Source organism: Homo sapiens, chromosome X, assembly GCF_000001405.40.
Source record: "Homo sapiens chromosome X, GRCh38.p14 Primary Assembly".
Classification (NCBI taxonomy): domain Eukaryota; kingdom Metazoa; phylum Chordata; class Mammalia; order Primates; family Hominidae; genus Homo; species Homo sapiens.
In genome coordinates this window covers 39,940,776-39,956,937 of record NC_000023.11, presented here as the reverse complement: position 1 = coordinate 39,956,937, position 16,162 = coordinate 39,940,776, and the positions used below count along the sequence as shown (strand labels likewise).

Genomic DNA, 16,162 nt, shown 5'->3' with positions numbered 1-16,162 from the left:
TCTTCTGCTGCTCCTGTCTCCTGGTGCTCTCTCCCTTTAGAGATCTCTTCCTTCAATCTCCTCAATCCAAAATCAGTGAGAAAAAGCCCAATAGTTGGGTGCATGGATTAGTTAACGAAGAAGAAAAAAAGCAATAAAAAAGGAGAAAAAGAATAAAGTCCAAGCCAGACGTGGCGGCTCATGCCTGTAATCCCAGTACTTTGCAAGGCCGAGGGGGGTGGATCACTTGAGGTCAGTTCGAGACCAGCTTGGCCAACATGGAGAAAACCCGTCTCTACTAAAAATACAAAAATTAGCCAGGCATGGTGGTGTGCACCTGTAATCCCATCTACTTGGGAGGCTGAGGCAGGAGAATCGTTTGAACCTGGGAGGTGGAGGTTGCAGTGAGCCGAGATCGTGCCACTGCACTCCAGCCTGGATGACAAAGCGAGATTTTGTCCGGTGCAGTTTCTCCCCTGTGGTGTCACCTCTGTTGATGGCCGAGTCATTCTCCTGGGCATTCAAGCTGAAAATCACCATCATCATTGGTGTCCCCATCCCTGAGTGGTAATGTTGGATCACCTCTTTGGTGGCTCTGTGACTGTCTTCTTTTGGCTATTCTCGTGCCAGTGTGCTGCTTCAGGCATTGCTCACCCTTCCCCTGGGAGACCCCAAAAACTGTCAGATGGGGCCCTCTGCAGCCAGCATGAGCCTGCTGGAACCAAATTGTATCCAATTACCCTGGATTAGTGGGAGTCTAGCCAAGAGAAGAGAAACCACTCCAGGTATTAAAATATAAGGAATAGAATCCTGGAAACTGGCTTCACAGATGCTTGAGAAGCTGAAAAGCCAAATAGGGGACAGCGAGGTCCCCTATAACCCAGAGGTTAGCTATGGCAGCTAGCATCCCTTAGGGCTGGAAGGACAAAGGGGAAAGGAAGCACTAAGGGGACGTGGGAGCTGGAGTCAACTGACGGGAGCTGGAACCACACAGAAGATGCAGGAGAAGCAAATGATGCTAGAGATGCTGCCCAAGGCAAAGGGAATGGGGAGAAATACCCTGATTTCTCCCTCTTCCTGCCCTCTGGCTCCCACCAGTGTACCCCATTGGCTGAACCATAATAGAGGCCACTTGCAAAGGAACCTGGGAAATGTAGTTTCCTGTTGCACCAAGCAGAGCAAGAGAAGGGAAGGAAATGGATCTCAGAAGAGACAAACGACAGATACTCCCTGGCCAAGAAGCCTTCTGTAGTTCCCCTCTATCCACCAAATAAACTCCAGACTCCTCAGCCTGACTTTCTGCTTGCTCTGGGAACTATTTCTGTTCGCTTTGCTAGGCTTGTCTGCCATTGCCTCTGCGTGTTCTCACTAAAGGTGGATGATGCTGGGACCCTGCTTCTGGCATCTGCCCACCTCTGGACCTTTCCTCACTCAGCATCCTGTACCCAGAGTGCTTTTCCTTCCAGTCAGGCTTGTTGCAATCTTGCCCAGACTTGTACTGCCCAGGTGAAACGCCACCACCTTCATGAAGCCTTCCTGACCAGCACTTCCAGCCCCACCTCCACACAAACAAACGTTCTTTTTATTCTTTCCCAGCACTTCCTGGGTTGATGCCTCGCCTCGTTTCTTCCTGTATCACAGTTATTAATGGGCTTGTCTCGGCTTCCCATTAGACCGCAGGCTTCCTAAAAGGCTTGTTCAAAATGAAGCCTCCACAGCGCCTTGCACCTAGAAAGGGCTCACTGCATTTTAGTTTAATGAATGAACAAATAAGTCGCAAGCAACACATCAGCAGGTTGCAATGCCCAGTCAATGTAGGGGAATTAATTTTGACTTTGGCAATCCATGCCTTGGGGGGTGTGACAAGGCCCCAGGAAATGCGAGGTGGGGAGTCGCTCAGGGCGGGGAGCAGATGTCCACATTCTGCTTTGTTATTACTTCAGCTTATTGGTCCAGGTTTTTTCTTTTAGACAGAAAAGAATCCGCCCATGTTTTCATGTTGTTCTCATTGAAATACACCCACAGGCGTTGAAACGAACCCACTGGTGAAGTGCAAGGAGAGAGAGGGCAGCCCGTTTGTTTCTTCACTAAGGTTTGGGGCTGCAGCTTATGGGCCGGAATTCCCAGGGGCTCCAGCGCAGGAAGCTGAGGGCAGAATGAGGGAGTCGGAGAAACTGGTGGTGAGCTTCTCCTTAGGTAAATGGTCGAAGCAGTGGGGGGTTGGGGAGATGCTTTGGCGCTGGAGCTTTTAAAATGTGACTGTGAATTCACGTTTGTAGGAAGCCTTTTTCAAATGCTTTCCTTTTCCCTTCAGGGAGTTGCAGAGGGTGTGAAGGGTGCGGTGCGGAGCTGGGTGGAAGGCAGAGGTGGCTTGGGCTGGGAACCCCTATTTCAGGCTGTTCATTTGTTCGGTGGTTCAGTTCCTTCCTTCCTTCATTTGTTCATTCATACATTGAATAAATGTGAATTGATGATCCACCAGAACGATAAGACTTTTGGAGCCAGTAGTCTAAGCTCTGTATTTGGAAAAGGAAGGCTCAGAAAGGTGTGCTCCAAGTGACCTGCTCCACGTCACACAACCAGTTACGAGCTGTGGTAAGATTTGAACCTTCATCTCGTGCTTCCCAGTCCAGCGCTCCCAGGGCTTTGTGGGGGCTGCTAAGGGGACCCCAATGGGCCCTTTCCTGGCACACTTTGTTTTAAGCTGAGTTCTTCCAGTGGGTGAAGAAATGTGGCTCCCTCTGAACTCACAACTGAACCTGTCCTCAGTGCCCTGCCCCGGTGCAGTGCAGGTCTCTGATGGGGCTGCTGCACAGACCGCACTCTGTGCTCAGTGTTTATAAAGCCGCGTCAGCCTTGGGTGTGGACAGGAGTGACCTGTGCTGTCTAAACAAACCGCGAGCTTCTGGCGGCCTGCCTGCCTGCCTGCCAGGGTGCATGTGACGTTCTCTGGCCAAGCGAGGTTGGTTCGATTGGAACTCCTGGCTTTGCTCCTTTTGAGTGCAGCAGTGTGTAAATGTAGGTCTGAGCCCTTTAGTGCCCCAGAGGGAGCAGAGGCTGGCTATCATCTAAGATGCAAAGGTGCGTGGTTTCCCATCATGTTACTGCCAGCTCCTTCCACCTCCCCCGAGCTATTCCTTCTTTCTTTCCTGTTTCTCTTAATCACCAAGGGACAAAGAAGAGACCTGTCGTCCAAAAAATCCAAGCAGATGTCACCTACGAGAAACCACAGGAACAGGCAGATTTTAGTAAAATGAAGGCCTAGCAGCTGCTTTCAAAGACTCTGCCCCTAAATAATGCAACTTCGGTTTGTCATTCCAGATGTATGTTTGAAAAATCAGGCTTAAGTCTGTCATTTTAAATGGCTTTTTAAATGACACAGAAATTTTACTATTTTTAGGTCAAATACCTTGCAGAAGTTGACATTTTAAGGTTTGGCTATGTGTGAAAACATCCAAAGGGAAACGTGTGCTTTCTTTTTTCTAGAAACAATAAACAGGATGAGTGGCCTTAGTTTATTTGTGCACGTTCTTACCTCTCTTGTATTTGCATCTCCAGTGTTTATTGGTGTGATTCTTCAGGCATACACTCAACATGGCAGATGTCACCTGAAGGCCGCCCTTTAGAGATGAGGTCCCCACAAATAAGAGCAGGTCATTAGACTAGAACCGCCTTTGTTCCCTTAACTACAGTGTTTTCTGTCTCCACACAGAGCACACTATATATAAAGCCATAACCATTCAGAGTCACACATGGACTATATAAAGGCACTGCTGAGAGATGAAAGATGTTTTTAACCCCTTCCTCTCAGGCGTCTGTGGCAGCTGCAACCACTCAGTTTTAGAATGTGCCAAGTTCTGTTCTGGGCTGCAGTGGGGTTGTGGGGGTGGGGGTGGTGGAAGAGGAGGAGGGAGCTGTGAATGAAGCAGCAAGGTGAGAGGAGTGGTTCTCCCACCCCAACCCTCACTCCCTCTTTCTTGCCTCAGTTTAGAGCTGCTGGGAATCCCCCAGGGATAAGGGTGACAACAGAGAAGGAAGCGTAACAGCAATGGACAGGACTGTAGGGGCAGCCTTCTGTGATTTTAGACTGGGTCCCTGTACTCTGCAGTCTCTTCAGGGATGTTAGGGCACTTGAAACTACAGGGTAAAGGTGGCAGCGCTTCCTGGAGGATCAATTGTATTGGATTTGAAGTGATTGTCAATGTCGCTCTTCTATTCAAACAAGCACAGGGCCCTCTGATGGAATAGAATGTAGATGGACATGAACAGCGATGCCAAACATGGTACATCAAGACGTGCCCAGCCTGCTGAGGTGCCACTTTGGACTCTACCTTGACACCCTTAGAAGGCTGTTAACGCCTTTTGGTGACAAAGATTAAGAAACCCTGCCCCAGGCTGGTTGCTGTTGCTCACACCTGTAATCCCAGCACTTTGGGAGGCCGAGGCAGGCGAATCACAAGGTCAGGAGTTCGAGACCAGCCTGGCCAATATGGTGAAACCCTGTCTCTACTAAAAATACAAAAATTAGCTGGGCACGGTGGCAGGTGCCCCTAGTCCCAGCTGTTCAGGAGGCTGAGGCAGGAGAATCGCTTGAACCTGGGAGGTGGAGGTTGCAGTGAGCCGAGATTGCACCATTGCACTCCAGCCTGGGCCATAGAGCGAGACTCCATCTCAAAAAAAAAGAAAGAAAGAAAGAAAGAAAGAAACCAACCTTGCCCTAAATAATATGCTAAATGCAGTATAACATAGAAGTGCTTTAGTGCAAGGAACACGGCTGGGGTTGAAGGCCTGGCTCTGCTGCTTACTAACTGTGTGACTTGGGGTGAGTTACTCCACCTTTGTGAGCCTCAGTTTCTTCCTCTGTAAAATGGGGCTGGTACCAGCTCCTTTCTTAGAGAGTGTTTGTGAGGATTAAAATAAGAAGATGCACTGGAGTGTCTGGCCCCTGGCCCCTAGAAAAGGCTCCATGAGAGCTAGTAATTATTTTGGTTCAATTGTAGGATATGTGGAAATACTTGATCTGTCAGCTTTTGCTCAGATGGGCATATGCTGTGGCCGAAGTGGGAATTGGCCAAGTCTGATTGACTGGAGGCTGACATTCTCATGGCCATCTCTTTTCCAGAAGTGCAGGAAGAGAGAATGGTGTGGGCCTACTGGCCCAGTATTCTGCCCAGGTGCCTACCCTTGAGAACCCCCAGAACCGTGCTCTCCCATTTTGAGCTGACATCCCTGTGGGAACTTCCTTTGGCAATGGAAACCGTTCAGTTTGAGCCCAGCCCCTGGCAGGGCCCACCATAGCCACTGGGCTTGTGTAACAGCCTCACTCCTGTGAGGGCACCACTGTGGGAGTACAGAGGATGCCCAGATGGGCAGTGCAGAAAATGCTGTCACAACACGCCCTGGGCCCTTAGAGGCATAGTAGTAATAACAGCTCAGGCTCCCTCATCCCTGAACTCTGCCCACATCCCAAGGCTACTCTGCTCTGCCCATTTCTTCTGCATGACCTATATGGTTGCTTTTGAGAAAAGCCACGTTCTGCTTCTGAAACTTGCTGTCCTTGATAATATGTCCCATGCAAGGGGAGAGAAGGGTGGGGGAGCCCAGCTGGACAGGTGTGAGGAAAGGGGGAAACAGCTGGTGGACAACTCTGCCCTGCACTAGACACTGTGGTGCTTTGAAAGATACATCCATATGTTTTTTGATACTCTTCCTCTCAGGAGGGAAGCCAGCGGCCATGTGGTGAGGGTACTCAAGCGGCCTATGGGGAACCCCACATGGTGAAGACTGAGGCCTCCTGACAACAGCCACATGAGGGAGCCATCTTGGAAGCAGATTATGCAGCCCCAATTGAGCCTTCAGATGACTGCAGCCCTAGCCCACACCTTGGCTGAAACCTCATGAGAGATCTTAGGTCAGAACAACTGAGCCTAGCTACTCCCAGATTCCTGACCCACAGAATCTGTGAGATAATAGCGTGCGTGATTTTAAGCTGCATAAATTTGAGCTAATTTATTATGAAGTAATAGATAACCTTCTCCTTGTCCTTTAAGATGTCATTTGAAAGTTTCCAGGGCTAGGTGTGGTGGCTCATGCCTGTAATCACAGCACTGTGGGAGGCCGAGAACGGTGGATCACTTGAGGCCAGGAGTTTGAGACTAGTCTGGCTAATATGGCAAAACCCTGTCTGTACCAAAAAAAAAAAGAAAAAGAAAAAAAAATGTTTCAAGGACTTCACTGATGTCTTTCCTTTATTCCTGGCTTATGATGATGTTGGAAGCTTGAAAAAGAAGATGAGAAGATGTGTGGTTTTGGAGTACGGCAGCAATGCCGTGGGCATACACACCAAGCATTTTCTACTGGTTATGTCATGTAAGCATCTCAACCACCCTGTGGGAAGGTATTAATAGTCCCATTTTATAGATGAGAACACTGAGGCTCGGAAAGGTTAAGACCTTTGCTCAAGAATACCCAGCTAGATTTGCAGCCTGGTTGTTGAGGCAGCAAGCCTGTGTTTCTTGATTGATAACAGGCTGTCTCTGGGAATAAAGCAGCTAGGTCAAGGTTTGGGTTTTGCTTCTGAATAACCCCATGGCTTTTAGCAAGTCACTAATCTGTGGGGCCCTTTTTCTTCTTGAAAGGACCTCTTTCCCATTCCTTGTAGCCAGAGGGGGTGTCATAGTGCCTCATCCTCCTGTAGCCACAGGAATGCAGCATGTGTCTCTGGCCTGGCCAATCAAATTGTCCTATTTCCCTGATAGCAGTGATTGGTTAAGGGATGAGCATGTGATTCTAGACAGGCCAGTCAAAATCTTCCTCAGAGTATCTCTGCCACAGTCAATAGGGAGGGAGGCTCTTTTTTTGTGCTGGGACTGCTAAGCTGGGAGGATGTGAATCTGGTGCTACCTGGGTTGGCAGGTCTGCCTGTCTACAGAGTCAGATAGAGCCAAGCCATGGAGGAAGGCAGAGCTCTGGATCCACTTGAGCCTCTGAATCCAGCTATACCTGAAGCCATTCCTCTCCCTTGACTCCTTGGTTACAAGAGTCAGTAAAATCCTATCCCACTTCTTTTTGTCCTTTTTTTCCCGCTTTGGTCTCAGCTAATTTGACTTGGCTTTGTGTTTCTTGCAATACAGTGGGCAAACTTGGGAGTTGCCTTTAGCATCTTGGAGCAGCAGAGCGTAGCTCCTGTATATGGTGACCAAGCGTGGCAGGAACTGATGGTGCCCTGCTGGCCCATGCTGGGGGTCATGGCAGGCTGTTCGCTTACAGGCCAGTGGCTTCCTGCATTGCTCTGCCTGAGGCGTTCTCTGGCTCCGGGACCATGCTTAGCCTGCATATGGTGGGGCTGGGGTGGGCTGAGCTAGGCAATTCTAAAATGCCAGGGAATTAATGTCTCAGGAACGACCCTCTTCTAATGAAGAATGGAGGTGAATGGATACCTACCCTGGCTCCATTGCCTCCGGGGACAATCTAGTGGCATGCTCTACACAGTCTCTCTGAAAGTCCCCAGAAGGACTGAGTCAGCCTGTACTCAAATCCTTATATCAGGGTCTGCTTTGGAGGGAGCCCTTCTAGGATGTCAATATCGAATTTTGATTTTTCTGGAGCTGACTGATCTGGAGATATCTATATTAATTGGAAAGACTGAAATGGCACGATTCGGCCTCAGCAATTTAGTGAGTTCAATATCTCCCATATTGGACATGGGTTTAAGACAAGCAGGAATATCAGGGGTCTGAGGCTCCACGAAAATGCAGCAGCCATTTTTGCAGTGGATGTTGGTGGGACAAATGGGGTTGGAGCATTTGGGCAATTTGGGGTTGCTTCAGTTTGGTGCTTGGTGGGGTACCTGCATCCTCCCATGCGCCCAGGCTCCAGAAGCATCTTTGTACAGACAGGAGACAGGAGCACTTCAGATTACAGCCGGAGACATGCCTGGTTTCCAGCCGTTGGTCTTGTTTGCCTTTCCCTCTGCCTTTGTTACTGCTCCTTCCTTTCGCTACTCCCGTTTAGTTATGTTTAAACACTTCCTGTGTCGCCACCTCAGCAGAGAGGCTGGAGAGCCTGTGACAGTGTGGCTTCCACTTCGTCTCCCCCTGCAAGGCCTTGAGCTCCTAGGCTCAGTGACGGTTCTCCCTGGGCCCCAGCAAAGAGTTGCATCTGTGGGTGGGGGAATAGTTGGCTGGCACAGCTCAGCCTCGCGTCTGCTTTCTCTCTTCCCCGGCAGCTCCCGGAGACTCCCAGTGGGTCCTCCCTGATCCCCCTCCCCTTCTTCCTGGTCACTTCCGCAGTGGCATCTGGGCCACAGACATTGTTTTCTCCTAATTGCATTTCACCCAAGGAGAGCTACGCTAATAGAGGGACTGCAGGAGAGGGGCCTGGCAGAGCTTGGCAGAGTGTCTGTAGCTTCTGCACAGGACTTTGAGAAAAAAGAAAAGGTTTATCAGGGGTACCACTGCCCCCTTCCCACTCTAAGGGCGTGTGCCACTGTAAGGGGAAGGGGGCAGTGGTACCCCTGATAAACCTTTTGTGGTACCCCTAATGAGCCTTTTTTCTGTATTTTTTCTTTTTCCTTGAGATATAAAGATCAGCTTCCAGTGCACTAAATGTGCAGCTTGATAAAAATATTTTTTGTTTGTTTGAGACGGAGTCTCACTTGGTCGCCCAGGCTGGAGTGCAGTGGTGCGATCTGGGCTCACTGCAACCTCCGTCTCCCGGGTTCCAGCGATACTCCTGCCTCAGCCTCCCTAGTAGTTGGGATTACAGGTGCCCGCCACCATGCCTGGCTAATTTTTGTATTTTTAGTAGAGATGGGGTTTGACCGTGTTGGCCAGGCTGGTCTCGAACTTCTGACCTCAGATGATCCGCCCGCCTTGGCTTCCCAAAGTGTTGGGATTACAGGCATGAACCACTGCGCCCGGCCAATAAATTTTTATGTATGTCTATACCTCTGATAAAAATCATATCAGAGAACTTCCCCATCATTCCAGAAGGTTCCCTGGTGCCCTTTCCTGTTAGTACTCCCACCCACAGAGGCAACCACTATTCCTCTATCACCATAGACCTGTATCACCATAGATTGAGTGCCAGCTTTTTCACTGTAAAATGGAATCATCCAGCACTGTTTGCTTCTGTGTCTGGCTTCTTTTTTTTTTTTTCAGAGACAGGGTCTTGCTCTGTTACCCAGGCTGGAGTGCAGTGGTACAATCACGGCTCACCACAGCCTTTACTTCCTGAGCTCAAGTGATCCTCCCACCTCTGCCTCCTGTGTAACTGAAACTATGGGCATATGCCACCATGCCCAGCTAATTTGAAAATTTTTTTGTAGAGAGGATCTTGCTTTATTGTCCAGGCTGGTCTGAAACTCCTGGCCTCAAGCTCTCCTCCCATCTTGGCTCTCTAAAGTGCTGGGATTACAGGCGTGAGCCACTGCCCCTGTCCTTGGGTCTAGCTCCTTTCACCCCACGTCATCTCTGTGAGTGTGAGTTGTGCTGTGTGTCACAATAGTCTTCCTCCAGTTTTTTGTTGAGATTTTGTTTCATTCCGTTCCTCACCATCAATGGGCTGAAAATTAAGGCCCTGCAGGGGATACAAAGCCAGTGACATGCAGATCCAGTTTTGCCCCTATCCATAACCCAGGAGGCAGGCACCTTCACTCCCAACACCGGGAGGCCCATCTGCCAATTCTGCCAAACCCCGGCTCAGGAGGTTGATGCAGCCATGGCATCGGATTCCTTGTCTATTCCAAGCTGCCGGGGCCAGCCACCTTGGGTTGGAAGCTTTGCTGACTTCTTAAGATGCAGGAGGAGCCTAGAGCAGTCCCAGATATGGGGTGGGGCTTGGAAATAATAAGTTATGATTACAAACATGCCTATGGTGGCAGAAGAGAAAAGTCACTGAGGTCTGGTGACTCTTCCACCACAGAGAAGCCTTTCCTTTCCTTCCTGGATTCCTGTGGTGGCCCCTGACAGCTGCCCCATGCAGGGTTTCCTTTCCTCTGATTCACCAGCTCGCTGCCGTCAGCCCGGATCCCAGGGTCTGCTCTTGTTCTGTCACTCCTCTGCTGACAAACCTTCAGTGGCTCCCTACTCCCTGCTCAAGCCTGCACTCCTCCTGACATTGAATTAAGAATCTCCAGAGACTGAACCGAGTGGCTCTCCCTTTCTGTTCTGCCATTACTCTTGGGTGGAAGCTACCTCCCTTTTTGAGCAGCTGAGACTCTGAGCTGGGATTGTGTTGATGAGCGTGATCTAGTTCTCTCTCTGCTTTTGACCTGCTGATCTTAGGAGCTCCTCTTCTCTTTTCCACTTCTCCAAGAGTTGTCTGGCTAGCCCAGCCTGCCGTGTGTAGCCTTGGTTCCCAGTATCACTTCATGGACCAAGAGGCCTGCTGCAGATCCAGCCATCATGACTTCACTCCAGGCCATGAGAAGGAGGAAAGGGAAGGAGGAGGTGCTGCCTCCTTTCAGGGTTAGTAATAATAATAATAATAATAATAATAATAATAATGATAGCAGCAAATCCCTATGCATCATTTACTGTGTGCCAATTGCTGTTTCAAGTACACTTGGGCTAAGTGCGGTGGCTGTAATCCCAGCACTTTGGGAAGCTGAGGCCGGAGGATCACTTGAGGCCAGGAGTTCATGACCAGTCTGGGCAACATAGTGAGACCCCATTTCTACACAAAATTTAAACAAATTCACTAGGTGTGGTGGTATGTGCCTATAGTCTCAGCTACTCAGGAGGTTGAGGTGGGAGGATTGCTTGATCCCAGGAGTTGGAGGCTGCAGTGAACTATGATTGTGCCACTGCACTGCAGCCTGGGTGACAGAGTGAAATCCTGTCTCAAAAGCAAAACAAAACAACCCCTCCCTGCAAAAAAAAAAAAAAAAAAAAACCCAAAAAACAAAAACAAACCAAACAACCCCCCTGCAAAAACCCCCCCAAAACCAAAGAAAAACCAAGTGCACTTAATTCTCATGTAACTCTATGAAGTAGCTACTATTATTAGCCCCATTTTACAAATGAGGAAAGGAAGGCACAGAGAGGTTAAGTAACTTGGGCAGATCACACAGCTAGGAAGTGTTTGAGCCAAGATTTGAATTCAGACAGTCTCATGCCAGTGTCTGAGCTCATAAGCCCTCTGTTGTGCTCCTCACTTCCCAGGAGTGATAGTACACTCCTGGGATAGTACACTCCTTTTACAACCCAGTGACCAGAATTTGGACCATACCTAACTGCAAAGGAGCCTGGCAAATGTAGTCTTTGTTCAAGGTGGCTATATACGCAGGTAAAATTTGGGAGTAATCCAACTGAGGAAGAAGGCAGAACAGATCAATCCCTGACCCAGGTGGCTATTGTCATTTACTGCATGGCCTTGTTTATTCAGTTAGACCACAAGCTTCTTGAAGTTGGGCTCCTAGTCCTCAAGAAGGTGTCTCATGGGGGCCCTGAGTGGGAAATGGCCTCCTTTACTTGCTGTTGAATTTTTTTTTTTTTTGAGATGGAGTCTTGCTCTGTTGCCCAGGCTGGAGTGCAATGGCGCCATCTTGGTTCACTGCAACCTCTGCCTCCCAGGTTCAAGTGATTCTCCTGCCTCAGCCTCCTGAGTAGCTGGGATCACAGGCATGCACCACCAAGCCTGGCTAATTTTTGTATTTTCAGTAGAGAAGGGGTTTTACCATGTTGGCAACGCTGGTCTCGACCTCCTGACCTCAGGTGATCTGCCCATCTCGGCCTCCCAAGGTGCTGGGATTACAGGTGTGAGCCACTGTGCCCGGCCGTTGACTTTGAATCCAGAGCAGCTCCTTCTGTGACCCAGAATAACCCCACGGCAAGGATGACTTCATAATCAGTGAACTGACGGATAGTCTGCGTTTCTTTTCTTTTCTTTTTTTTTGAGATGGAGTCTTGCTCTGTCACCCAGGCTGTGCAGTGGCATGATCTGGGCTCACTGCAACCTCCGCCTCCCGGGTTCAAGTGATTGTCCTGCCCCAGCCTTCCAAGTAGCTGGGACTACGTGTGCCATCATGCCCGGCTAATTTTTGTATTTTTAATAGAGACGGGGTTTCACTATGTTGGCCAGGCTGGTCTCGAACTCCTGATCTCAGGTGATCCGCCTGCCTCGGCCTCCCAAAGTGGTGGCATAAGAGGCATGAGCCACCGCGCCTGGCTGATAATCTGCGTTTCTATGTGAAAGGTCCCATGTACGGAATGTCAGTAGAGTGCCTATGACGACTCTTTTCATTTTGAAACTGTCTCTTGGCTTGGCTTCCAGGACACCACTGTGTCTGGGTTTCCCTCAGGGGCCTTGGAGGCTCCCTCTTTGTCTCTCTTCCTTGACTTCCTCCTTGGCTGACCACTATGAGTTGGTCCATTGTAGGTCTCAGTCTTTGGGCCCTTGTGTTCCTATCTTGGCCTCTCTCTCCCTGTGATCTCATTTCCCCTCATGACTATTTATTTGTTTATTTTTGAGGCAGGGTCCTGGCTCTGTTGCCCAGGCTGGAGTACAGTGGTGCAATCACAGCTCACTGCAGCCTCGACCTCTTGAGCTCCTGTGATCCTCCCCCCTCAGCCTCCTGAGTAGCTGGGACCACAGGCATGTGCCACCACACCTAACTAATTTTTTGATTTTTCTGTAGTGATGGAGTCTCCCTATGTTGCCCAGGCTTTGTCATGGCTTTTAAAATGCTGCCCATTTACTAATAACTGGAGACCAGACCTCTTCCCAGAATTCCAAATACCACAGCCTATCTGCCTATTGACATCCCATGTGGTGGTTTCACTGGTGTCACAAACCCCACGTGTCCAAAGTGGAACACCTGATCTCCACACCCCCAGCCCTAACCTACTTCTCTAGTGTTTCCCACCATAGTCAATGGCTTCTCCAGCCCTCCAGTGTCTCCTTCTAGAAACCTGGGGGCCATCCTTGATACCTCATTCAACTCAGCTCTAATCCCTGACCATCTTACCTGCAGCAAGTCTCTCAAGTCCATCCACTTATCACCATGGCCATTGTCCCTTCCTCATCCAGTCGCCTGCCTCTCTCTCCAGGACCACTGTATCAGCCAGTCACTGGGTCGCCCACATTCACTCCTCCAATCCATTCTCCACAGTGCAGCATGAGAGACCTCAAAAAACTGATAAGCAAAGGCAAATCTGATCATCCACTCTCCTGCCCACTGCCCTTCAGTGACTCCCGAGTGCATGTGCACAGTATGCCCACGTGGCCCATAAAATCTAGGTGCTCTAAGTCCTCCCTGTCTCTTCAATTACATCGTCAGCCTTCTTCCAGTTACAGCTGCTGTAGAGCAAAGCACCCCAAACTTAGCAGCATAAAACCACCACCATTTTCTTATGCTCACAGATTTTATGGGCCAGGGATTTGCACAGGGCATCATGGGAACAGCTTATCCCTGCTCCCTGATGTCCAGGGCCTCAGCTGGAAGCCTCGAAGGCTGGGGGCTGGGGCCATCCAAAGGCTTGTGCACTCACACGGCAGGAACCTGGCATGGGATGACTTGAAGACTAGGACTGCTGATTAGAGCACCTACGCTGACCTCTCCGTGTGTGTTGGGCTTCCTCACAGCATGGCAGCTTCAGAGCAGTTATACTTCTTTAGTGGTGGCCCAGGGACCCAAGCACCTATGTTCCAGCAAAAAAGGTCCAAGCTGATTTTCCTTTCTGACCTAGCTTTGAAAGTCGGCCAGGTACAATGGCTCACACCTGTAATCCCAGCACTTTGAGAGGCTGAGGTGGCCAGATCACCTGAGGTCAGGAGTTCGAGACCAGCTTGGCCAACATGTTGAAACCCCGTCTCTACTAAAAATACAAAAATTAGCCAGGCATGGTGGCACATGCCTATAATCCCAGCTACTCGGGGAGGCTGAGGCAGGAGAATCTCTTGAACCTGGGATGCGGAAGTTGCAGTGAGCCAAGATTGTGCCACTGCACTCCAGCCTGGGTGACAGAGCAAGACTCTGTCTCAAAAAAAAAAAAAAAAAAAAAAGAGTCACATGGTGTCTCTTCCACCTGGATTCAAGGGAAGGGGACATAGACCCCAACTCTTCATTGGAGGAAGAATGCCAAAGTCACATTGTGGAACAGCGTGCTTTAGAAGACACCCCTTGCCACATGTCCCTTCCTCCTTGCTCTCTTGCCCCTGCTACTCTGGCTTTTTGGTCTCCTCAAAGCTCCAAACTTTTCCCTTCCTCTGCCACTCTGCATCTGCTATTCTCCCTTTTCTCCCCCTGGCTAGCTGTAGCTCCTGGCTGAAATGTCGCTATAGCCTGCCATCTGAAGCAGGTCCCCGTTCTATTCCTCCATTGTTTTCATGACTATTCCCCTTCATACTTTCCATAGCTTCTAATTGTAGGTGCTTTTGCATGTTTAGTTGTTGAGTTTCTGTCTCCAACGCCATAATGTAAGCTCCACCAGCGTGGGGGCCAAGCCTGTTCCGTTCACTGCGGTGTCACCAGAGCAGAACATGGGGACTGGCATGCAGAGGAGAAACCTTTAGAGTCTTCAGGCAGGTTTTGGGGAAGAACTGTCCACAGGCTATGACCTGTTATGCAGGGCACTCTACACCGGGCCTATCTCAGGGGACGGAGTGGTTTTTTGGGGGTGGAATGGGGAGGATGAGCTGAAAAGGAGATGATCACAAGAGAGGCAGTGTCTGTCTCAGTTCTGGTCCCTCCCTCTGAGGCTGGTGATGCCAACAGACCCAGGGAGCCTGCACTGTGCCTGCTCCCCTCCCCAGCCCCTCTGCACCTTTTCACTGGGCTCATTCACTTTGGCCTCCCTGATCCACCATTGCTTTGTACCCATTGTATCTCCTGCTAGGCACACCTTTCTTACTCCCCCACTAGTAAACTCTAGAACTTTCCTGGCCCTCCCAAGGCTGCATTAGGCTGCCCTTCACCTTCCTTCCCTAACTATTCATGCATATGATCACTGGCTTGGAGGCTTTTTGAAGACAAGGTCAGGGCCCATGGCAAGCCCCATAAATGGTGGGTGATAAATGGGCCACACTGTCTGGGTGGTGCTCAGGCTGTCCACAGCCCCTCAGCTCTGCTGTGGGTGGGACTTTTGTTTTGGAGATCAGTCCTGGGCCCCCTGTAGGCTTTGGGTGGGCTAGGTGGGGGAGGAAGATCTGGAAGCCAAGTTAGTCTTCCAGTGGGGGGCCTGGCCTTATTAGAATGCCTTCGTCTTGACTCAGACCGGAAGTCGCTTGTTCCTGCATAATTATGTTAAGCTTTTATGATGGGGATCTGGGCGGCCTGCAGCAGCATTTTGCAGGAGCAGACTGCATTCCTGGTGTCTGGGTTTACCTTCCCTCTCAGTCTGTGGCCTGGAATGCTGGGTCTGTGGACAGGTCCCCTGCCAAGCCCAAGTCTAGCTGTGGGGTCCCCCTGCCTGGCAGTGTGAGTTGCCAGGGGTACGTTCATGATTGACTGACTCCTGCCTGCTGCGCAAGGAGGTGGAAGCCTGGGCCAGAAAGATGGTCAGATTCCCCCTTTTCCAGCTGACACCTGGTTTGAGGGCACTGACCCAGCCTGCAGGAACCTCCTGGCACAGCACTGACTAGGGGGCCCCAGGCCTCTTGACCTGGGCATCACACCCAGGTTCACCCTGTGCTTTTCCCCCCAGGTACTAAGATGGCTGTTTGCTTCACACATGCAGCTGGTGTGTGTGTGTGTGTCTATGTAGAGGGTCTTTCTTTCTTTTTATCTTTCTTTTTTGCAGAAACCTGTTTCTTGCTATGTTGCCCAGGCTGGTCTTCAATTCCTGGCCTCAAGCAATCCTCCCGCCTCGGCCTCCCAAAGTGCTGAGATTACAGGCATGAGCCACCACATCCAGCTCCTTTCTTTTCTTTTCTTTTTTTTTTTTTTTTTAAGACGGAGTCTCGCTGTGTCACCCAGGCTAGAGTGCAGTGGTGTGATCTCGGCTCACTGCAACCTCCGCCTCCTGGGTTTAAGAGATTCTGCTGTCTCAGCTTCCCAAGTAGTTGGGATTACAGGCGCCTGCCACCATGCTGGGCTAATTTTTGTATTTTTAGTAGAAGTGGTTTTCATCATGTCAGCCAGGCTGGTCTCGAACTCCTGACTTCAATCTGCCCTCCTTGGCCTCCCAAAGTGCTGAGATTACAGGCGTCAGCCACTGCGTCCAGCTCCTTTCTTTCTTTT

At 50.1% G+C, this 16,162-nt stretch overlaps 2 annotated features.

Moving 5' to 3' along the window:
• Positions 2,780–3,008: a silencer, noted in NCBI's record as "fragment chrX:39813184-39813412 (GRCh37/hg19 assembly coordinates)". NCBI's record gives its function as "represses an EF-1alpha promoter that drives an FKBP-Casp9 reporter gene in an ReSE screen in HepG2 liver carcinoma cells {active_cell/tissue: HepG2}" and the evidence as "EXISTENCE:reporter gene assay evidence [ECO:0000049][PMID:32094911]".
• Positions 7,634–8,133: an enhancer, noted in NCBI's record as "H3K4me1 hESC enhancer chrX:39808059-39808558 (GRCh37/hg19 assembly coordinates)". NCBI's record gives its function as "activates a minimal SCP1, AML or CMV promoter by ChIP-STARR-seq in primed H9 embryonic stem cells {active_cell/tissue: H9 hESC(primed)}" and the evidence as "EXISTENCE:reporter gene assay evidence [ECO:0000049][PMID:30033119]".